This window comes from Homo sapiens, chromosome 17, assembly GCF_000001405.40.
Source record: "Homo sapiens chromosome 17, GRCh38.p14 Primary Assembly".
NCBI lineage: Eukaryota > Metazoa > Chordata > Mammalia > Primates > Hominidae > Homo > Homo sapiens.
This window is the reverse complement of record NC_000017.11, coordinates 57,948,380-57,971,551: the sequence shown is the minus strand read 5'-3', so window position 1 is coordinate 57,971,551 and position 23,172 is coordinate 57,948,380. Positions and strand designations below refer to the sequence as shown.

At 50.7% G+C, this 23,172-nt stretch overlaps 1 protein-coding gene across 4 annotated transcripts in view, besides 5 other annotated features; it reads left to right on the top strand.

The window, feature by feature from the left end:
• Positions 1,846-2,006: a silencer, noted in NCBI's record as "fragment chr17:56046907-56047067 (GRCh37/hg19 assembly coordinates)". NCBI's record gives its function as "represses an EF-1alpha promoter that drives an FKBP-Casp9 reporter gene in an ReSE screen in K562 erythroleukemia cells {active_cell/tissue: K562}" and the evidence as "EXISTENCE:reporter gene assay evidence [ECO:0000049][PMID:32094911]".
• Positions 5,296-5,804: an enhancer, noted in NCBI's record as "H3K4me1 hESC enhancer chr17:56043109-56043617 (GRCh37/hg19 assembly coordinates)". NCBI's record gives its function as "activates a minimal SCP1, AML or CMV promoter by ChIP-STARR-seq in naive H9 embryonic stem cells {active_cell/tissue: H9 hESC(naive)}" and the evidence as "EXISTENCE:reporter gene assay evidence [ECO:0000049][PMID:30033119]".
• Positions 16,140-23,172, top strand: part of CUEDC1 (CUE domain containing 1) — a 94,170-nt gene continuing 87,137 nt past the window's right edge. For all 4 annotated transcript variants that reach the window (XR_934459.4, XR_934460.4, NM_001271875.2 and 1 more), the window contains exon 1: positions 16,140-16,327. The gene's annotated coding sequence lies outside the window, so the exon portion shown is untranslated. The remainder of the gene's footprint in view (positions 16,328-23,172) is intronic.
• Positions 16,216-16,285: a silencer, noted in NCBI's record as "silent region_8753". NCBI's record gives its function as "represses an Ori minimal core promoter by ATAC-STARR-seq in GM12878 lymphoblastoid cells {active_cell/tissue: GM12878}" and the evidence as "EXISTENCE:reporter gene assay evidence [ECO:0000049][PMID:35858748]".
• Positions 18,574-19,075: an enhancer, noted in NCBI's record as "NANOG hESC enhancer chr17:56029838-56030339 (GRCh37/hg19 assembly coordinates)". NCBI's record gives its function as "activates a minimal SCP1, AML or CMV promoter by ChIP-STARR-seq in naive H9 embryonic stem cells {active_cell/tissue: H9 hESC(naive)}" and the evidence as "EXISTENCE:reporter gene assay evidence [ECO:0000049][PMID:30033119]".
• Positions 22,510-22,804: a silencer, noted in NCBI's record as "tiled region #6256; K562 Repressive non-DNase unmatched - State 8:EnhW". NCBI's record gives its function as "represses a minimal TATA promoter and a strong SV40 promoter by Sharpr-MPRA in K562 cells {active_cell/tissue: K562}" and the evidence as "EXISTENCE:reporter gene assay evidence [ECO:0000049][PMID:27701403]".

Below are 23,172 nucleotides of genomic sequence, written 5' to 3'. Positions count from 1 at the left end.
TGTTATGATGGATTGTTTAATACCTCAGAAGCTTCATCAGTTTGCTCTGATAATAGAGGAATTTTTCAAGTACTTTCTTTTCAGGTGCGCACATCTCAGTATTGGGTTGGAGAGAGAGGGAGGGACCAGTATCAGGCTGGTTGGAGGGTGGAAGGGCACCAGACTGACTGCCCTTGGTAGGTGCACCCTCCCAAGCAGCTCAGGTAAGGCCCAGGAAGCTAGGATGGAGGCAGTGGCCACAGGTTTAGGTCCCTGTCCTACCCAAAAGAGAAGATGGGTTTAAAACATTTCTTCTCATGCTCTAGGACCCAATTTCCTTAGTTGAAAGGGGCTTTAAGCTGGGTCCCTTGCCCATTTGTGTTCAACTAGATTTATGAGATGCCCACTGAGGACCAACAATGTGCCACGCACTATTAGGCACTAAGGGGCATGAAAAGTTGATTTAAGACATGGTTGCTGCCTCCAAGGAGGCTGTTAAGGGAGATGGGACGAGTGATGGTATCACCAAACAGCAAATCAGGATGAATGTGACACTTCATTCAATGAAAAAGTTTTGGATACCTACATCTGTTTTATATAGAATTGAGGCTTTCCAAACTTCCTGTGATAATTGTCTTAGGCCTTTAGTGACTCAGTGAACACAGCTGGAGGAAAGTGTTCTTCGTGCTGTGTTTGTCCTAGGAACAAGGGAAGTGTTATTTCACTGAGTTGCTAGTTAATCATTCCAGTCCCGGCTGTTCAGGTGTCTCCACTCTTCTCAAGGGGCCCTGTAGTTTGGTCCTCTGAATCGACCTAGGTTTAGGATGTAGAGGAGATAGTGGAGGTTTTCACTTCAGTATCCTCAAGGATCATTGGACCTAAAAGTCCAATCTGTTCATGGGACAGTAATCAATTTTTCCTCCCTGCCCTAATAGGTCTGGCCATCAGTCTTGCACTTTTTCCAATTCCTCCTTAAAGAGTCCTGTATCCTGAAAGAATGTCTTTTGTCCCTGGTTTGGGTCTGTAAATCTCCCCCACAGCTGGCCTGACATTGGCAGATTACTGGAAAATCTCCCCTTGTAAAAATAGGGGGCTAGGCTGGGCACGGTGGCTCACGCCTGTAATCCCAGCACTTTGGGAGACCAAGGCGAGCAGATCACAAGGTCAGGAGATCGAGACCCTCCTGGCTAACACGGTGAAACCCTGTCTCTTAACTAAAAATACAAAAAATTAGCTTGGCGTAGTGACGGGAGCCTGTAGTCACAGCTACTCAGGAGGCTGAGGCAGGAGAATGGCGTGAACCCGGGAGGCGGAGGTTGCAGTCAGCCGAGATCGCGCCACTGCACTCCAGCCTGGGTGTCAGCAAGACTCTGTCTCAAAAAAAAAAAAAAAAATTAGGGGGCTGGCAGGTTAGTGTGTAATGATCCAGGGCAGAATACTGACTGAGTTTGTGTGTTAGTCCAGATTCCAGCTTCTCTTGGCTGCCCACCTTTGAGCAATCTAAGGCCCATGTAGTACCGATAAAGGAATGAAGGGTCGCAGGCTTTCCTTTGGATCTTTGCATGAGGTAGCCCTCTCCTTAGACCTACCCATTAGGGGTTGGCTAGTTAGCCTTCCTCTTCCCAAGATAGGCACTTAACCCAGATCTTGGCCCTGGACCATGAAGGTCAAGTACACATCACTTTACAAAAACCGCCCTGGATCGCTTGAGGCCAGGAGTTCAAGACCAGCCTGGCCAACATGGCAAAACCCCGTGTCTACTAAAAATACAAAATTTAGCTAGGCGTGGTGGTGCAAGCCTGTAGTCCCAGCTACTCAGGAGGCTGAGACATAAGGATTGCTTGAACCTGGGAGGCAGAGGTTGCAGTGAGCTGAGATTGTGCCACTGCACTCCAGCCTAGGCGACAGAGCAAGACGCTGTCTTAAAACAAACAAATGAACAAAAAACTGCTCTGTTAGTTTTTGTTGTTGTTGTTGTTGTTTGTTTGTTTTTGATATGGTGTTTCACTCTTGTTGCCCAGGCTGTAGTGCAATGGCGCCATCTCGGCTCACCAGAACCTCCGCCTCCTGAGTTCAAGTGATTCTCCTGCGTCCTGAGTTCAAGTGATTCTCCTGCGTCAGGCTCCCAAGTAGCTGGGATTACAGGCATGCGCCACCATGCCCAGCTAATTTTGTATTTTTAGTAGAGACGGGGTTTCTCCATGTTGGTCAGGCTGGTCTCGAACTCCCGACCTCAGGTGATCCACCCGCCTCGGCCTCCCAAAGTGCTGGGATTACAGGCGTGAGGCACCGCGCCCGGCCCATTTGTTTAGGACAGCGTCTTGCTCTGTCGCCTAGGCTGGAGTGCAGTGGCACAATCTCAGCTCACTGCAACCTCTGCCTCCCAGGTTCAAGCAATCCTTATGTCTCAGCCTCTGTCTGTCACCTGGGCGACAGAGCCAGACTCCGTCTCCAAAAAAACAAAACAAAGCAAAAAAAGATTCTCTATCACTACTGACTTGCATCATAATTTTAGAAGTCCTCTTCATCTCTAATTATCTTAAATTGACATCCCACCTCCCTCCCAACCCCTAAATATCTCTTTCAAGATTACATAAAACATAAAATAAGAACTTAAAATCACGACTCCTTTGTAATATATGTAACTGCTAACCATGTAGGGAGAACTCTCATTAATGGAGTTTCCTTAAAGTGAGGTCCACCTGCATCTGGCTGTGTCAGAAACTAAAGAAGGACGTTTGAGGAAAATATTCTGTTCTGCCAGTGAGGTATTCTTTTGGCATGACAGCTGAGAGGATGAGGAGATCAAGGGGAATGACAGGGAGCAATATGCCCTTCCAATGACTGGTCCAGCAGCTCTCTCTGGCAGTCAGTGCTCAGGCTAGGCTGGGACAGATGCACCAATTCTAGAGGCTGCCCATGGAGAAGAGAGCCATCCTCAAAGACTGGGATGGGAAGCCAGGTCTTTGCCAATCTTAGGGACAACTGGGGACTGCCAGAGGCTTATTATCCCTACAGAGTCAGCCAGACAGATCTGTTTTGAAGGAGCTTGGATCCCCAAGGCCCTTGCCCATGAGCCAAGGAATTCTTATCTTTGTTAGTGGCAGGAAAAGAGCTAGAGAGAAATCAGATTTGCATGTATATGGAGGAAGAAAAAGGGGAGTCTTGGAGGTTAGGAAGAGGCTAAGGAAGGGAAAAGAGACATTTTGGAGGAAATGTTCTTGTGCTACCTGTGACATCACTCCCACCCTGACCACCCTCTCCATGCACCTGCCCTGGGCTAGACATGATTACTTAGGGAACTTGGAGACAGGCTGCTAGTCCGAGCCAGCTGTGATGATTTGTTTCAGCCAATAGGCAGGAAAGAAGACGTGCATTTCTTCACCAGATAAAGGAGAAAAGGCTGGGTGCGATGGCTCACGCCTGTAATCCCAGCAATTTGGGAGCCCAAGGCAGGCGGATCACGAGGTCAGGAGTTCGAGACCAGCCTGGCCAACATAGTGAAACCCCATCTCTACTAAAAATACAAAAATTAGCTGGGCATGGTGGCGCATGCCTGTAATCCCAGCTACTCGGGAGGCTGAGGCAGGAGAATCACTTGAACCTGGGAGGCAGAGGTTGTGGTGAGCCAAAATTGCACCACTGTACTCCAGCCTGGGCAACAGAGTGAGACTCGGTCTTAAAAGAAAAAAAAAAGGAGAAAAATCAGTAGCTGAAGAAACAGGCAAGATTCAAGTAATTAGGAGTGAGGACCTGTGAACCACTTCTTGCTGGAAGAAGTGGGGTCCCACCCTTTCCTGAAATCCCAGAGCTCTGTCCCAAAAGAGTAGGTCCTGATTCCAGGGTGGCCCTGTCAACGTAAGGGAAGTTCTGTCACTTTGTCAACACCAGAGACTCTGTGGCTATCAGGCACCTCTGAGGGAGAAGAATGGGGAGGGGGGAGTCTGCGAAGAGAGAGAGAAAGGAGACAGAGTCACTGCTTCCGCTGTTTTCTAGGCCTAGAATGCCCTCCCCATAACCAGCCCTCCAACATTCTTTCTCCACTGTGAACCCCTAGACAGGCAGAAAGTGTAATTTAAATGTTGCTTCCTCTGAAACCTTCCCCTGCCTGAACTAACGTCAGGCAGTTAGTTTATTCTTCCTTGGTATAACAGGAATAGGTGGGAGATATCAAAATAAAGGTGGAGGCAGTTTAGCACCCCCAGAAGGGAGGCTAGTTTCCAAATTGGACCATAGCTTCCAAAAGTTTTGCTACATTCCTAAATCTTTGATTCCAAATTAGTGGGTTCATGGCAGCCTGTGATTGTTGCTGATTTTGCCCTGTATTGATGAATCCCAATGTCCGGGAGACCTGAAACACAACAAGGAACCAAGTACCAAGGCCAGAAACAGGAGTAAGCACCAAGGTAAGTGAGGAGGGCCCGCAGGGGATCCAGAGCAGAGGGCGATTTGGCATAAGGAACAGCTGGGAGGTGCTGTAGTTTAGGGTTATGATCAAGAGCAGAGACTTGGAATCTGAGAGGCCTGGGTACAAATCCAAGCTGTGCCACTTGAAGCTATGTAACCTTCAGCAAGATATGTAGCCTCTCTGCCCTCTGTTTCCTAAGCTGTAAAATAAGCATGACAATAAATCCAACCTGGTAAAGTTTCGTTTTGTTTTGTTTTGAGACGGAGTTTTGCTCTTGTTGCCCAGGCTGTAGTGTGATGGTGCAATCTTGGCTCACTGCAACCTCCGACTCCTGGGTTCAAATGATTCTCCTGCCTCAGCCTCCAGAGTAGCTGGAATTACAGGCACGTGCCACCACGTCCGGCTGATTTTTGTATTTTTGGTAGAGACAGAATTTCACCATGTTGGTCATCCTGGTCTTGAACTCCTGACCTCAGGTGATCCACCCACCTCGGCCTCCCAAAGTGCTGGGATTACAGATATAAGCCACTGCACCTGCTCCTAGTAAAGTTTTAATCTGAAGCATGTAAAGTGCTTAGCCCAGGGCCTGGTACAGAGGATGGAGCCTCGAATTCAATGTAGACCATCTCTATCTGGTCCTCCTATTTCCAGTTTGGGTCATGGCAGCATCACTTTGCTCAAAGGCACCAATTGCATCCTCTGACAGACCTGCAAAGGAGCTGAATTGCCTTCCTGCATTGCTTTCTCACCTCAGATTTTGGGGGTTGGCATCCAGCATGGGGAACGAGCTTCATCCGAGGAATGAGAAAATGAGACGTATGGCACATCTCCTGAAAAGCAGCTAACTGGAGGCTGGCCAGAGGTGTGGCAGGCCAGAGGTGTTCAGATTAGACCACGGAAGAGTCACCAGGCTGGGAGATCCGATATGTGCCTATCTGGGGATGGTGCATCCTGCTTCAGAGAGGTCATTCCATCTCCTTCGTTCTCCACATTCACTATATCCAGAGAAGGCAACTGTACAGCTTCCCCGCGCAATCTCACCGTCCTGACAATCAAAGAGTTCGTTCGTCCTTCTCTAGCTGCAAGCTCAGCACAGGCCAGACCTCCTCTTTCCTTCCTAAGAAGAAGAGGAACACCACCACCTAGCCAGGTGGGATGAGGGAGAGAAGCCCAAATCCGTCTATCCCGCTCAGTCCAGAGTCAGCCCTCACAGCTCCAACCTCCCCTCCCAAAGGCGTCAGGGACTCACTGATCCGGGAGAGGAACCAGCCCCGCAGGGGACAAGGTAAATGTGAGTGTTGCCATGGCTGGATCAGTCACCCTGCTGTGGAGCCCAAACTGGCTCCACATTGGCCTGGCATTTGGCGCCCCCCACCATTTGGCCTGATCAACCCTGCCGGCCTCCTGGCCTCCTCTCCGCCTCTTTCCTCCAACGGTAGGGCTGGAGGGGACCCGAGGCAGACAAACAACTCTTGGGCGTGTGGGCCCCCGCCCGATACTAGAGCATCGGCGGGCCGGGATTGGCTGATATCTCCCGTGTTCTGATTGGGAGGGCGGCGGCCTGTATCTCATTCACAGAAAGCATTGCTTCTCTCCTGCTGGAGCTTTGGACCTCGAATGCTGCTTCACTTTCCGCACTCTGCACAGTAGCTGTACTCATTTGATGTAAATAGATACAATTCAGTTCTATGGTTTCCGCAGATGACATGCCCCCAAATGCAGTGTTGGCCCCTCAGGGATGGCTGAATCTGTCCGTTTATTGTATCGCATATCCAAATCACAGCTGTACGAGTCAATGGGACCAGGCTTATGGGAACTGTGGGGGCTGCGTTTTGCATACCCAGGTGAGGCCACGGTTTGTTTTGTTTTGTTTTTTAGACGGAGTCTTGCTCCGTCACCAGGCTGGAGTGCAGTGGCGTGATCTCGGCTGACTGCAACCTCCGCCTCCCGGGTTCAAGCGATTCTCCTGCTTCAGCCTCCCGAGTAGCTGGGACTACAGGCGCCCGCCACCACACCCAGCTAATTTTTGCATTTTTAGTAGGACGGGGTTTCACCATGTTGGTAGGGATGGTCTCGATCTCTTGACCTCGTGATCTGCCTGCCTCGGCCTCCCAAAGTGCTGGGATTACAGGCGTGAGCCACCGCGCCTGGCGAGGCCATGGTTTTATCCGGCGAGACCTTTTGCTGGGTTAGGCTTTCACCCACTTTCGCCGGCAGTCCTTTCTACCATTTACACTTGTATTTCATATTTCTTTGTCTTTAATCATGCTGTTCCATATACTAGGAAAGCCTTCTTCTCATTCACCTACTTTTAAAATGTGGCTAAATTTCCTGCTCACTAGGACTCCTGCAGAAAAAGCCGATTGCAGAGCTTGGGCAGGGAAAACACAAAGTGAGCCTGGAACATTCAATATATATTTGGAAACAATTACAAACTTACAAAAAGTTGCAAAAGTGAAAATAGTCCAAGAAATATCTGTAAACCCTTTACCCAAATTCACCTATTATTAACATTTTATCCCTTGCTTAATCACCATATGGGGCTCTATCCAATTTGTTTTTTTTTCTGAACCATTCTAGGGTTTCATACATCATAGCTCTTACCCCTAAATATTTCTGTGTGTATTTCCTAAAAATAGAGATATGCTGTTACACCACAGCACAGTTATTAACTTTATACACTTACATTTATATAATACTTATATTTAATCTACCATCCTTATCCTTATTCCAGTTGTTAGTTAGGTGATGTAGTTATGTTCTTTTTTTTTTTTTTTTTTTTTGGTCTCGCTCTGTCACCCAGGCTGGATTGCAGTGGCACGACCTCAGCTCACTGCAACCTCCGCCTCCTGGGTTCAAGCTATTCTCTTGCCTCAGCCTCCCGAGTAGCTGGGATTACAGGTGTGTGCCACCACGCCCAGCTAATTTTTGTATTTTTAGTAGAGACGGGGTTTCACTGTGAGCCAGGATCGTCTCGATCTCTTGACCTCATGATTCGCCCGCCTCGGCCTCCCAAAGTGCTGGGATTACAGGCGTGAGCCACTGACCCTGGCCCTAATTATGTCTTTTACAGCATTTTCTCCATTCCAGTAAAAGATCTAGTCTAGGGTCAGGTTATTCCATCTCCTTCATTCCCCATATTCACTACATCCAGAGAAGGCATCTGTACAGCTTCCCCTTATAATCTCATCATCCCAATAATCAAAGAGTTCATTCTTCTCTAGCTGCAAGCCTGGCACAGGCCTGACCTCCTCTTTCCTTCGTAAGAAGAAAAGGGGCACTACCACCTACCCAGTAGGATGAGGAAGAGAAGTTCAAATCCTTCTAGACTGCTCAGTCTTGAGTTGTCATGTCTCTCTAGCCTCCATAAATCTGGAACATGTACATAACTGGCATTAAAAAAAATACAGACCCCGCCTTATTTTTTTTTTAATGGAACATTCTCCATTTTGTATTTGTCTGGCTTTTCCTCATGATTAAGATGAAGTTCTGGCCAGGCATGGTGGCTCACGCCTATAATCCCAGCACTTTGGGAGGCCGAGGTGGGCCGATCAAAAGGTCAAGAGATCGAGACTATCCTGGCCAACATGGTGAAACCCCGTCTCTACTAAAACTACACAAATTAGCTGGGTGTGGTGGCATGTGCCTGTAGTCCCAGCTACTCAGGAGGCTGAGGCAGGGGAATCACTTGAACCTAGGAGGCAGATGTTGCAGTAAGCTGAGATCGTGCCACTGTACTCCAGCCTGGCGACAGAGTGAGAATGTCTCAAAAAAAAAAAAAAAAAAAAAAAAAAAAAGGAGAGAGAGAGATGAAGTTCTACATTTTCAGCGGGAATACTGCATAGGCCACGTGTCCTCAGGATATCACACCCGGAGACGCACAATGTCCCTCTGTCCTTCATACATGATGTTAACTTTGATCACTGGGCAAGGTGTTACCCATTTTCTCTATCACATAATTACTTTCCCCTGCCCTTGCAACTAATAAGTAGTCTGTGGGGAGACATTTGAAGACCATCTATATATCCTACTCTTCAACAAAATTTCATCTTAGATTTAGCATTCATTGATGATCTAATTAAATCTTTACCAAGATGGTTGAAATGTCTCTTTGCACAAGAAAGTAAGGAAGTGCTCAAAGAAGATGAGGATGCAGCCGCAGAATTCCAGGAGTTGGCACATGGCCAAGTCCGAAACAATCTAAGCCAAAATAGATGATAATAACAAATTATACACAATCGAAGGAAGATAGTAATCCATGAATTCATAAAGAAATGGGTGACTACCTCCTCCGGCTCCCTTAAATCTCAGTTCAGCCTTCTTGTGCCTCAGTGGGAGATGTGCCCCTCTATGCTACCATCTCCTGCTGTGCTTCTCAACCTGCCACGATAATGTGACACTTTCCTGACTGTAGAATGGAGCCGAACTGAGCCCTGGGCTTTACCTTCCCTACCCTAAAGGGAGCAGGCTCTATAGACTGGAGTGTGAGGCCTGAGGCTGAGGGTCTGGCTCCTAGGAACTCAGTCCTGCCATAGCTTCAGGGTCCACTTGCCCCAGAGGCTCAGCCCTGCTTCCAGGAGGAGGTTTCTCTTTTCTCTTTTTAAGAAGCAAGCTACTCTGAAGACATCAGTCAGCCCTCTATAGGGTCCTCCACCCACTACTATGCTGTGCAACCCGAGTGAGGCTCTTCCTCCAAAGAGTAAAACATTTTTGACATTTCAGCTAGTGCCCAGAAGCCTGTTCAGGGGTCAATGATTTAGTGCCAGCTTCCTCTCTCCTCCTTCCCTGACCATTTGCTGGCCCAGCAGAGGTTCCCTCCCTCCAAGAAGGGAGGATCCTTCCCCAGGACACCAGGGCCATGCGGCTCCTCCACCTGCAGCACCTGCTCCCCAAGTCCCACACAGGAATATTCATCCTGCTCCACCCCACAACCTCCTCTAGGGAGCTTCATTTCTGGGAAGAACCAGATCTGAGAATCTAGGCCAAATTGATCTCAGGTATCCCTTCTTGGAATTGCAAGAACGACAATAAGAAAAACAGGCATCATTCATTGAGTATTAGAGTGATGAGGAACAAGTCAAGGCGATGCTGGTGCACACCTGTAGTCCCAGCTACTTGGGAGGCTGAGGCGGGGGGATCACTTGAGCCCAGGAATTTGAGGCCAGCCTGGGCAACAGGAGGCAGAGGTTGCAGTGAGCCAAGATTGTGCCACTGCACTGCAGCCTGGGTGACAGAGTGAGACTCCATCTAAAAAAAAAAAAAAAAAAAGAAATAGCTTAAGTTAAGAATAATCATGGAGGAAAGTCATTTATGTTTAACTTTCCTCCTTCCAATTATAATGATTTTGAAGGCTAAATATAGACATATATACATAATCGATAATAAAGCAATGTATGTATAATGTAGGAAATTCAGAAAATCCAGAAAAATACTAATAACAAAATAAAAGTTATCTTTAAACCCTCATCTAATGATGCTAACATTTTGATATATTTTCTTCAAGTTTTTTCTTTTATGTTTATATTTTTATTTTTACAAAAAAATATTTTATTTTTACCATATAAGAATAAATGGGGTCATTGCATTTTGTTTTGTAGCATTCCTTTCCCCCAACATTGTATCATGAACATTTTTTACATTCACTAACTGTTCCTTTCTTTTTTCTTTCTTCTTTTTTGGAGACAGAGTCTCGCTCTGTCACCCAGGCTGGAGTGCAGTGGCGCGATCTCGGCTCACTGAAACCTCTGCCTCCTGGATTCAAGCAGTTCTCCTGCCTCAGCCTCCCAAGTAGCTAGGACTACAGGTGTGCATCACCACGCCTAGCTAATTTTTGTGTTTTTAGTAGAGACAGGGTTTCACCATGTTGGCTGGTCTTGAACTACTGACCTCGTGCCTCCCAAAGTGCTGGGATTACAGGCGTGAGCCACCGCACCCGGCCTCACTATTCTTTAAGAACAATTTTAATTATTACAGGGGATTCCATTTATCTAGGTCAAATCTCCACCCCACGGCCTTGTAGAGGACAAGCTGGCAGCCTCTGTACAAGGGGGCAAGATCCCTGGAGCCTCACAAACTGTTACCAATCAAGGGGAAGATAGTGGTTTTTATAAAGGCAAACAGGGCATGTCTCACTCACTTGTTACAATTCAGGCCTTTGGCAAATATTTACTCAATCTCGCGGGGTGCAGACACTGAGATAGATGGAAAACACCCCTTACCTCCCGGGAGTTCATGAAGAGACAAACTATAATGGCACGCACTCTCTCTCTATACAGGCTGGTGGGATGGACACAGGGACTGCAAGGGAGCAATCCCTTATGCAAGGGAAGAAGGGCTCACAGACATGATGTTCGTGCTGGCACCCTGGGGAAGGGGTGAAAGTCCCCGGGAATCCTTTCAGATAGCCATCAAATCGGCAAGCCCACAGGCATCCATCCAGCTATTATCTCACAAGGGAGTTGTTTGCTTATTTATTTATTTATTTATTGTGACTGCTTCCACGGTTCACCTGTGTGTTCTTTCAAATCCCCAAGTGATGTTACCAGTTCCTTAAAAGTTTCCTAGGCTGGGCTGGGTGCAGTGGCTCATGCCTGTAATCCCAGCACTTTGGGAGGCTGAGGCGAAAGGATGGCTTGAGCCCAGGAGCTCGAGACCGGCCTGGGCAAGATGGCAAAACCTCACCTTTACAAAAAAGTTTTTTTCTTTAAATAGCTGGGTGCGGTGGTACAAGCTTGTAGCCCCAGCTACTCAGGAAACTGAGACATGAGAATCTCTTGAGCCCAGGAGTTCGAGGTGGCAAGTTTCCTCTGAGTTCCTTGATTAAATTGGTCAGAGGAGAAAGGGTCAGGATTATCCAAATTATTTGGAAGTTTACACCACTTGCTTTTCTACCTCCAGCCTTCTTAAGCTGTCTTTGGTAGTCCTAGGAGGAGGAGTGGGTCTCACGGTGGCAGGGACAATGTGGTTGGTCGCAGAGCCGCAACTGTCTGCTCTCCTTATCAACCATTCATGCCCTGGCATTTGCCCTGGGCTGGGGGACCTTCAGAAGGGAAATGTCCTGTTTTCCCCACGGTCCGATCAGAGCTCACCATTTCCAAGCCTGAGCCCAGTGGCTCTCCATCAGCCTCATTCTCACAGTAGATAATGCCATATGCTCCAGCGATCTGAGCTTCATACAGCCACAGACTTAGCAAAAGGCTTCCATCACCTTCACATTCAGTCTGTGGAAACAGCAAGTGTTCTTGGCTGGTTTTGTTTGTTTGTTTGAGATTGAGTCTCGCTCTGTCACCCAGGCTGGAGTCAAGCACGATCTTGGCTCACTGCAACCTCCACCTCCCAGGTTCAAGCAATTTTCCTGCCTCAGCCTCCCAGGTAGCTGGGACCACAGGCGCCTGCCACCACGCCTGGCTAATTTTTGTATTTTTAGTAGAAATAGGGTTTTACCATGTTGGCCAGGCTGGTCTCGAACTCCTGGCCTCAAGTGATTCACCCGCCTCGGCCTCCCAAAGTGCTGGGACTACAGATGTGAGCCATGGTGACTGCCCTGTTCTTGGCTGGTTCTAGCCCGGGAGTGGGTGGGTGGCATGAGGACAGAAAATGGGAAGAGCTGGAATGGAAGTTAAGGGCAGCCTGGGAAGGGCCTCTCTCAGGAGTTTAAATTTCATTCTCCAAGCAATGGGAAGTCATCCACCTTGTTCAGCAGTGCAGAGACATCACCGGTTTGTACATTAGAAAAGTAACTGCTGGCACTGAAAAGGATGGATTGAAAGGCAGGGCCCTGGCAGCAGGGCCTGAGCCAGGGCAGAGGAGAGGGGGCAGGTTCCAGAGAAACTCAGAAGCAGAAAGCCCTGAGTTTACTGAGGGGGTTGAATGTACGAGGGGAGGAAGGCAGCATGTAACATCTGCAGCTTGAGCGAATGGGAGGTGCTGCTTATCCAGGACAGAGAATTCTTGCAAAGGATGTGGAGATGATGGGCTCCAGGCTCCCCGCACTGAAGGTGCAGTGGCTGTGGGACAGCTTGTCCAATGGCAGTAACACATGCCAGTCAGGGGCTTGAGAGAGGGAGTGGGGTGCTCGGACAGGTCATCAGCACACTCCACTAGGTGCAGAGGGGGTAATGTTATTAATAAAACTTGGCTGGGCACGGTGGTCCACGCCTGTAATCCCAGCACTTTGGGAGGCTGAGGTGGGCAGATCACCTGAGGTTGGGAGTTTGAGACCAGCCTGACCAACATGGAGAAACCCCGTCTCTACGAAAAATACAAAATTAGCTGGGCGTGGTGGTGCATGCCTGTAATCCCAGCTACTCGGGAGGCTGAGGCAGGAGAATCGCTTGAATCTGGGAGGTGGAGGTTGCAGTGAGCCAAGATCATGCCATTGCACTCCAGCCTGGGCAACAAGAGCGAAACTACGTCTCAAAAACAAAACAAAACAAAACAAACAGACAACAACCAAAAAAAAAAAAAAAAAAAATAGCCGGGTGCGGTGGCTCATGCCTGTAATTCCAGCACTTTGGTAGGCCATGGCGGGCGGAGGTCGGGAGTTTGAGACCAGCCTGGCCAACATGGTAAAACCTCATTTCTACTAAAAATAAAAAAATTAGCTGGGCATGGTGGCGTGCACCTGTAGTTCTAGCTACTCGGGAGGCTGAGTTGGAAGAATCGCTTGAACCTGGGAGGCAGAGGTTGCCGTGAGCCGAGATCGCGCCACTGTACTCCAAGCTGTACAACAAGAGCGAGACTCTGTCTTAAAAAAAAAAAAAAAAAAAAAAATATATATATATATATATATATATATATATATATATGCAGTCTGCAAGTGGAGCCATGAGGGGTTGGTACCTGCCCCACTCTATTCCCCCTGTGAGAACATCTGGAAAGAGGGGTTGGTTAGAAAGTTAGAGGACTCAGCCTTGGAGAAACCCCTGGGGCAGGCAGAGCTGAAGAAATGAGGGAATGGATAGAAAGACGCAGAGGCTAGGAAGCCATGAGGGTGGGAATGGTTTCAAGGAGGCGTTAGCAACATCCAGGGCTCCAATGGAGTGAAGGAATGGGATAGGGAGGAGGCCCATGGGTTGAAACAATGAGGAGCCTAAGGTTGCCTCCCTTGGAAAGGCATCTTCCCCTAGAAAGATGCCGGTGCCTCCCTGTAAAAATCACCTTCCCCTAGGATGAAGGGGAAGAAAGTCAGATTGTAGGAAGTTGAGGATTGAATAGGGCTTGAAGAAGCAGAGAGTGGGTCTGGTTGCTTCTTAGGGGAGGCCTACTGATGAATGCAGAAGAGAGAAACAGGGCAATGACTTGAGGGCAGGGCAGGGTTGGGGCCAGGTTCCCTTAGAAGGGGGTATCCTGAAGTGTTTGTAGTTTTGAAGCAGAGGGGAGGAGAAAGAAGAACTAACAGAGTTTCCTGAAGCACATAGGAGGTTGGGCTGGAAAGCAAAAGGGACATCTCTGGAAGAGCAGAGACAATAGGGCCTGAACCAGGCAGAAGTGGAGGAGTGAGGCGGTGAGAGAAGGAGAAATGAACAGGATCTGATAACCAGTGGAGGGCCAGGGAAGCTGCACAGGAGACAGAGGCTTCCAGCCTCTGAGCCAGAGGTGGATTCAGGAGAGTAGGAGGAGGTGGCTTAGGTAGGGAAGCGGTCTCAGTCGCCTTTAGCCTCCTTGAGTTTTAGGTGTCTGGGAGACTCACAGGTGGCCCTCTGTAGGCGGCTGGTGTGAGGGGCTGGAGCCCTGGGGGCTCAGAGGCAGTGGTGGGAGTGGGTGGAGGTGTCTGGGGGTGGGGAAGTTGTGAGAGGCAGGGAAGGGGTCTGAGAAAAAGCTTCCAGAAGGACAGACCCAAAAGGAGGAGTATGTTAGCAAAGCCCAAGAAAAGTGTGCTTCAAGGAAGAGTGTCCATTAGAGCAACTGGTTTTATTAATGACTATAATAATAATGTATTTAAAAATTTTACTAGCCGGGCGTGGTGGCACCCACCTGTAACCCCAGCTACTCAGGAGGCGTAGGCAGGAGAATTGCTTGAACCTGGGAGGCGGAGGTTGCAGTGAGTTGAGATCGTGCCACTGCACTCCAGCCTGGGTGACAGAGCGAAACTCCGTCTCAAAAAAAAAAAAATTATGAGCAATCCATAGGCGAGTGCAAATGGAAATCTCCAGGTTTGCAGATGCATTTTTCTGCTCCTGAAATGCCAAGGTGACAGGAATGAACTGCAGAGGGATCTTGCAAGTAAGCAGGAAAGTGACAAATGAACTGCACTATGGGTAAGTGTAAGGTAATACACTTGATAACATAATCTAGACTATATTGGCCAGGCGGACAAATCCTGAGCTCTCAGTTACAACCTGGGAAAGGAGCCAGGAGTCAGTATAGAGGCATGGGTCTGTCCCTTCGGATTAAGAATCTTTAACCTGGGGCCTGAAGACCATCTTCTGGGATTTCAAGCACCCTGCCTCCCCCGGAAATTGAATGCACCAGGGAGTGAAGTGTGGGGAGAGAGGAGCAGGAGAGAGGAGATCCTCAGAGGGGTTTGGAAACCCAGTCCTGGAGTTCCGTTCAACATGCTAACCTAACGTTGGGCCTCCCCGAGGAGGGTGTGGTTCTGAGGTTTCTCCCCCTCCCAGTTTCCCACCTTGCTGAAGAAACTTGCCCTTGACATGCAAATGATGGAAACACATTGGTGTCTGGGGCACTTTGGTTTGTGGTTTTTACCATCAGCTGTCTCTGAGGCTGAGCGTGTCGATCTGTCTCAGCAAGGCTAGCAAATTGCAAGCGCTCAGAGGAGGGGAGAGGGGGGCTATTCCTGGGGTTCTGGGCCCAGATGGGCAAATGGGTCTGTAAGGCAGACTTTTCCAGGAGGAGGGTGCAGACCCTTTGCAAGTTGTTTGGGGACAGAGCTTAGTTTGCATCTGGCCTTCTTCACCCTCCTCAGATCCCCTAGGTAGCAGGGTGCTTGGTGGTCACCACCTGACCTAGGCTACCTACTCCCAAATTGGAGTCTGAAATGAAAGCACGTGGGAAAAGTATAGCAAAGGTCAGTTTCCCATTTATTAAACAAGTTCTTCCGTGGAAAATCTTCCCAGGGCTCAGCAGCCCTTGAAGTGATCAGGGATGCTGGGGAGGTTGGGGGAGGAGAAAATGGGAGATGGCAGGTGGTATCTGTCGGTGTGGACGAGTGATAGCTTTGATTTGCTCCCCCTTCCCACCATCTCCTGTGTCCTCAGCATTTGATTTGGTTTCCTTTCCGGGGCCCTAATTCCAGGGAGGTGCCCCTCCTCCACACCTGTGTCCCAAGCCCCAGCTGTGCGTCCTCACCCTGGGTTCCTGGCACTGACCTGGAACCTGTCGGGCAGCCCTGCTCTTAGCTCCCCGCGGAGTCTCGGAGGTCTCAGGTCTCCTCCGCCCACCCTCTCCGCAGCTGGGAGGGGCAGGATGCCCCGCACCCCGCTCTGCGCGGGAGGTCGAGGCACCCCGCTCACGCCCTCCTGCCCGCAAGCTAGGGAGTCACTGCGGCCGGGGAGGGAGGTACACGGAGGGCATTTTTCCAGCCTTCACTGGGTGCTCCCCTCTCCACCCCCGGCAACCATGTAGGTTTCCGGACCCCCAGGTCCGCTTCCCTCCTCTCTGGAAAGGGGTCGGCCATAGGGAAAGGGCCCGGGGGCGCCGCAGCCGGGCCCCCGCCCCGCCCCGCCCGCAGCCCCGCTCCTCCCCGCGCGGCCCCACTTGTGGCCCTGCCGGCAGCCGCGCAGGGACAGCTGCATTTCTCGCCGCCCGCCGCTAGGAAGCCGGCCTCGCCTCACTTTCTCCGCCTCCCCGCGCCCCAGCCGCGCCGCCGCCGCCGAGCCTGGCCCCGCCGCCACCGCTGCGGATTGCAGCCCCTCCCCCGCCCGGCCCGCGGCCCGGCCCCTGCGGCCCGCGCGGAGCGGACGCGCGTGGCGCTGCCCGGTAAGACCCCCGCGCTCCCGCGGCTCCCGCCCGGCCCCGGGCGCGGTCCTCGCCGGCGCCCCGCGCGCAATCCCGGCCGCGGCCCCGGCCCAGCGGCCCCACCTTCTCGGGACCCGTTGCCCAGGCGCCGCCGGGAGGGCCGGGCCGTCGCGAGTTTGATTCCCGGGGCTGTCGGCGCGGCTCCCCGGGAGCTCCGCGTGCGGCAGGTCCCCGCCCGCCCTTCCTTCCCGAGCCCCCACCTCATCCCGGGCCCCGGGCGCGGGGGGCGTGCGGGCATCTGGGGGGCCGGGAGCGGGGCGCGCGATTAGACCGGGGGGCGCGGGCCAGCGCCGCAGGGAAGGGAGACGAGGCCTCCCGGAGCCGGCTTCGCCCGAGTCCCCTCTCCCGCCGCTCCCCCTTTTGTGTGGGCGCCCCTCCCCGCAGTGCCCGGGCCTGGGGGCGCAGGCTGGGCGGCGACGGCAGGCGGGGGCGCCTGCTGGGAGCCGAGCGCCTTTCAGGGGGAGGGGAGCTTCGCTTCCTGCCCCCCGCCGATGTCACAGGTCGGCTCAGCCTTTTTTGGTCCCTCCCGGTCCCCTGGGAGCTGTATCTCCCGTCAGCTCGGCCAGGGAAAGTTGGGAATGCGCTGTCCCCGCCCCTGCTCGCCCGCCCCGCCGGCTCCTGTGCCCCAGGCTCTGAGCTCCAAGGGGGGCTGGTGTCAGCGTTTATTCATTCCTCCCTCTTCCTTTTCTCGGTCGCGTGGTCGCCTTACACCCAGCACTGCCCTGCCCATTTCTTTTCCCCTTAAAAAAAGTTTTAGCTCTAAGAAACGTACACTGAAATTAAATTCCTGAGACGGAATGTGTTTTAAGGGGAGGGAGGGTTTAGATTTTCCTTTTTTTGGTGGAGTAGTGGAGTAGAAGATGAGGGGACTCCCTGGGAGTTTAGAAACAAGATGCCCTGGAGGCGATAGAGGATACAAGAAGACCATCCACCGTGCTCCCCACCTGATCCGCAGTCAGCGTCTTGTAGCGAGAGGAATGAGCCTTCCCTGGGTGATCCCGCAGCACCTGAGCCACCTGGCCCAGGAGAAAGGACTCAGGGAGATGTACTGGGCCTTTCACCCCTTTTCTTTATAGCCAGCTGTGCCTGAAGGAGGTGAGGGACCCCAGGAATTCTCTCACGGAGGAAGTCATCTCACCATGTGGTTGGGCCCCTGCTGGATCAAGTGTGAAGCTGGGTCCTCTCTGTTGTTGGGGGTCAGTGCCACTGGTACCTCAGTTTGAATATGGTGCCATCTCTGGGATGGAGAGGTGCTGCTGGGAGAAACCTGGCTCGGGTCTCCAGGAAGCTGGAGCGTGTGCAGCAGGGCTGGGTGTGAAACCCGCTGTCCACTTTCTGCAGCTGGAAGGGCCAGGACAAGGGAAACAGGATACTGCTACCGACCTGGGCACATCCTTGAATAGAAGAGAGACCCTGGACAGCGAGGATGGCCCAGGGATGTTGATATGACTAGGGCTGTATCCCCAGCTCCTGGGCCAGGCCAACTAGGGCCAGAGGTTGGAGTCATGGGCCCCTTTGAGAATCTGGTGAAAGCTCTAACTCCTCTCCTTCCAAAATGCATGTGTGTAGGGAGACACCTGTATTCAACACCAGACGGTTAATATACCCCCTTGGAACCAGGACCTCCATTGAGACCTCTGCCCTAGAGTTACTGGTCTGACCTGGGCCATCAGAACAGTTGTCACCTTTTTGGCTGGTCAGTGAATAATCCCAGGGTTCAAAGAGCAGACTGCTTCTAAGGTCTTTTCTCATGACCTCCCTATGCAACTTTGGGCTTGTGGCCATGGAGACCTGGAGTGTCTGGACAGATCCCAGCTCCCTACAGCTAGCTAGAGGATGGGGGCAGATGAGGTGGCCCTTTTCCAGGGGCTCATTTTGCTGTCTGTGTGGTGGGAAGGCCCTGGGCACTGGACTAGGCCCACTGGTCTATTGAATTAGAGGTAAATAAAGGGATTTGGGTGGAGGTGGATATTCTGGTGTTTCAGCTGGGTGTGAGATCCAGGCCTTTAAGAGCTCCAGCTTGTTCTTGGGGAAATGGGGTTGAGGTGCTTTAGTAGAGAGTGTTAAGTGTGAAAGACGACTCTTAAGGAGGTCTTGGGGCAGAATTGTCCAAGGCTATGATCTGGGTGTTGTCGGTTCCTTAGATCCCTTTGGACTCTTGAAGGCAAGTGGGGGCCAGAGGGCTGCTGTCACTATCCCCAGTGCAGCCCCAGGCCAGAGGAGGCCTGGCCTGCCTTTCCTTTCTTGGCTCACTGGGTCCTGGGCTGCTGCATAGGTGTTTGTGGCATCTACACTTGCTAGGGATCTGGAAGAGCTTTAGGACGATCTGCCATTTGTGACTTCTCTACCTTGGGACTGAGAAGACTTCCTTAGGCTCAAGTCCCCCACAGAGAGCTGTAGGGGATTTTTCTTTGTTTAACTAGAGAGCACAGTGTTTGGCATATGGCAGCACTCACACTGGTATTCTTCCTTTAGAGCTTCCTACATTTGCTCTGGTAATAAGCAGCAGAGGCAGGAGTATTCTAGAGCCTTGGGGCACAGGAAGCTGGGTGTCTGACAGGGGTCACCTCTGACTATCCAAGGTGAGCTGGAGGAGGTGGTGCTTCTGTGTTGCTGGCTCTTGCACTTACAGGAAGCAAGAGCTATAAAGGGCATTGGAGGCCGGATGCGGTGGCTCATGCCTGTAATCCCACCACTCTGGGAGGCCGAGGGGGGTGGATCACCTGAGGTCAGGAGTTTAAGACTAGTCTGGCCAACATGGTGAAACCCCGTCTCTACTAAAAATACAAAAATTTGCTGGGTGTGGTGGCGTGTGCCTGTAATCCCAGCTACTCAGGAGACTGAGGCAGGAGAATTGCTTGAACCTGGGAGGTGGAGGTTGCAGTGAGCCGAAGTTGTGCCATTGCACTCCAACCTGGATGACAAGAGCAAAACTTTGTCTCCAAAAAAAAAACATAAATAAATAAATAAAATAAAATAAAATAAAATAAAATGAAGGGCATTGGAGACCCTAAAGCGCTGTGGTCCAGTGGTCCTTGACTTGGGAATTGAAAGTGTCTTGGTGGCATGCAAAGTCCTTGTTGCAGTGACTGAGGATTCACCTTCCCCAGTGGCCATGACTTCTCAGTCATGCTGTGGCCCTGGCTACCATGGGTTGGTGAGTTCAGGATGCTAGCTGTGTTGGCTCACTCAGTGTTTCTCTGATCCCCTTGGCTTCCAGGCTCCCAGAACCTCTGATGTGTCAGCGCATTATCACAGACTCTTGATGATGCAGCTAAATGTCTTATCTTTAAAGCAGGTCATAAATGATAAATGTGATAACAGTCCTTGTAAATATAAACTCCCTTCTTATAAATGTGACCATTTCATTTGCATTGTGGCAGCACCAAGGGTCTTTGAGGAATTCTTGGTAAGATAAAAATGTTTAGGCTGGGCGTGGTGGCTCCTGCCTGTAATCCCAGCACTTTGGGAGGCTGAGGCGGGTGGATCACCTGAGGTCAGGAGTTCGAGACCAGCCTGGCCAACATGGTGAAACCTATCTCTACTAAAAATACAAAAAATTAGCCGGGCATGGTGGTGCGTACTTGTAACCCCAGCTACTTGGGAGGCTGAGGCAGGAGAATCATTTGAACTCGGGAGGCGGAGGTTGCAGTGAGCTGAGATTGCACCACTGGACTCTAGCCTGGACAACAGAGTGAGACTCTGTCTCAAAAAAAAAAAAGTTCCAACTCCACTGGCTTAACTTCCACCCCCAGGAAGCAACTGAGTTATTTTGTGCACATTTTCATCATAGCTTAGTTGTTTAGAGTGTAAGATCTGAAGTTAGGCATCTCCAGGTAGAATCCCAGCTCTCCATCTTACTCTAAGACTTTGTAAGTGCCAGAGTTTCCTATATTTAGAAAGAGTTAAAAGAGATCTCATGTGTATGCCAGACAAAGAGGAAGTGTTCATTACATCGAAGCTATTATTATTATTGCCATTTCTGCACAGCGGTACACAAATTCTGAGGCTCATTATTAAGGAAAATCTTTGGTAAAAACTGTAGAGGCTGAGGGTGGATTTTGGAAGAGTGGGAGGGGGTGGGGTGAGGCTCTTGAATGATGAGCAGAGAGGACCGCACAGTGGAGGCGGGGGTGGGGAGACTGAAATGTCATGGGTGACAGCTAAGCATATTTGGGGGCAGAATGACTCAGCATCTGTAGCCCTGCTGTGGAACCAACTCTTTTTCCTTTTCTTTGGAGAATTTGCCCTGTAAGCTGGGGGAGGGGTGAGGAGGCATAACCAGTGAGAAGGGTTGAATGGCATAAAGTTAATACTAACATTGGTCCAGAGGAACAGGGCAGAGTTCCCTGGAGGAAGGGAACCTAGTCAGGAGATCGGGGCAGGCCCAATAGGCAGTCAAGAGTGCAAGCTCACAGGGTGCAGTGGCTCACGCCTGTAATCCCAGCACTTTGGGAGGCCGAGGCGGGCGGATCACCTGAGGTCAGGAGTTCGAGACCAGCCTGGCCAACGTGGTGAAACCCTGTCTCTACTAAAAATACAAAAATTAGCCGGGCATGGTGGTGGGCGCCTGTAATCTCAGCTACCCAGGAGGCTGAGGCAGGAGAATAGCTTGAACCCAGGAGGCGGAGGTTTCAGTGAGCAGAGATCACAGCGTTACACTCCAGCCTGGGCGACAGAGCGAGACTCTGTCTCAAAAAAAAAAAAATAAATAAATAAAAAAATAAAAAAGAGGCTGGACACGGTGGCTCATATCTGTAATCCTAGCACTTTAGCAGGCTGAGGCAGGCAGATTGCCTGAGCTCAGGAGTTGAAGACCAACCTGGGCAACATGGTGAAACCCCCGTCTCTACTAAAGTACAAAAAAATTATCCAGGTTTGGCGGCAGGCGCCTGTAGTCCCAGCTACTTGGGAAGCTGAGGCAGGAGAATCGCTTGAACCCAGGAGGCAGAAGTTGCAGTGAGCCGAGATCGCGCCACTACACTCCAGCCTGGGTGACAGAGTGAGACTCTGTCTCAAAAACGAAAAGAGTGGAAGCTGTGGGGGCCAAGGGTTTCTGTGAAGGGATAGGCTTGGGAAATAATCATTGCAGCACTCACAGAGGGGTCGGACCCTTTCCAAGTACTTCACATGGATTAGCTCGTTGAATCTTCACAGGACCTATGAGATATTATACCAATTTTTCAGGTGAAGAAATAGAGACATAAGAGACATCAAGAGTTTAAATAACTTGCCCAAGATCACATGGCTAGAAAGTGGCAGAGCCAGGATTTGAATTCAGGAAGTCTGGCTGCAGGCCCACACCCTTAGAGAAACTGTCAGGGCTGGGTGTGGTAGTTCATGCCTGTAATCCTAGCACTTTGAGAGACTGAGGTTGGCAGATCACTTGAGCTCAAGAGTTCTAAACCAGCCTGGGCAACATGGTGAAACCTCATCTCTACAAAAATTAGCTAGGCGTGGTGGCATGTATCTGTAGTCCCAGCTACTCAGGAGGCGTAGGTGGGAGGATCGCTTGAGCCTGGGAGGCCGAGGTTGCAGTGAGCTGAAATTGCACCACTGCACTCCAGCCTGGGTGTCAGAGCAAGACCCTACCTCAAAAAAAAAAAAAAAAAAAAAAAAAAGTATGTCAGAGACACCCCTACTGAGCTCGGGGGTGGTCGTGGTGGGGGAGGGTGGAGCTGGGGGGGTTGTGGGATTTGTGTCCTGCTTGAAGGGCTGCCAGTGCAATGTCCAGGCATCGTTGGAACATGCCTGGAGGGTTCAGCTTAACAGAGTCTGCTGAGAACCACTGGCCAAGTGCCAGATACTCTGCTGGGGCCCATCCTGGAGCACAAAGGTCATCAAGCCATGGCCCCTGCCTTCAAGATGCCTCCTGTCTAGTAAGGGAGACAAACATGTTAGCCTGGAATTTCAGTTTCTGTGGCAAGTGCTGCGATAAGACAAAGCACTGAGGAAGGGGGCACTTTGCCAGCCAGAAGAGGAGTTGGGGCAGGGAAGGCTTCCTGGAGGAGGGGCCGCTTGAGCTGAGTGAGGACAAGATAAAGTGGCTGCTGCCTCCTGGGCTTTTGATCTGGCATGGGAGCACATTGTTCTCCCCCTTGGTGAACTCTGAGTAGAGCTAAGTAGCGGTGTGGGTTTCAGAGAAGGGTCAGGTTTTCTGGATTCTGTAGCACCCTTGCCAGGGTGAGGCAGGAACTGGGCAGTGTGGTCAGCTTTCCTGATGCCTTTGTGGTTTTTAACAGCTGAGAAACACTGCCACCTCTTGTAATGCCTGCAGTGAACATGGTGAAGAAGACATAAAAGTCCCTTAAGAGTCATTGCTCAGAACACAGTGATTCACTCTTGTCTCTCTGCACTTAGAACCAGAGGCAAATGAATTTAAACTACAGAGGGAGGATTCAAGTAAGGTATGAGGAAGACATTCCAGATAGGATGTGAGATGTAAGAAAAGTGACTCATAGGCACAGAGGGGAATGGCCTCCCCTGAAGGTCTTCAGAAATGGGAACAAGTTTCATTTGTCTTTGTGGTTTAAGAGGTTTCATCTGGAGACAGGAAGATGAAGTAGAGGCCCCTAGAGGTCCATGTCAGCTCGGTGATCGGAGGATAAAAGGAGCTGGAATTTTTGAGCTAGAAGATTACTTAAATTTGGCCTAACCCCTCCTTTGACTGTTGGAGTGATTGAAGAATGCCCGATAACACTGAGCAGCTCATCCATGAATGAGTGAGCCAAGGCACAAACAGAGTCTGCCCAACAGCTCTGGGCCAGGTGACCCTGGCCCGCAATGTTCCTGGTCAGCATCACCCG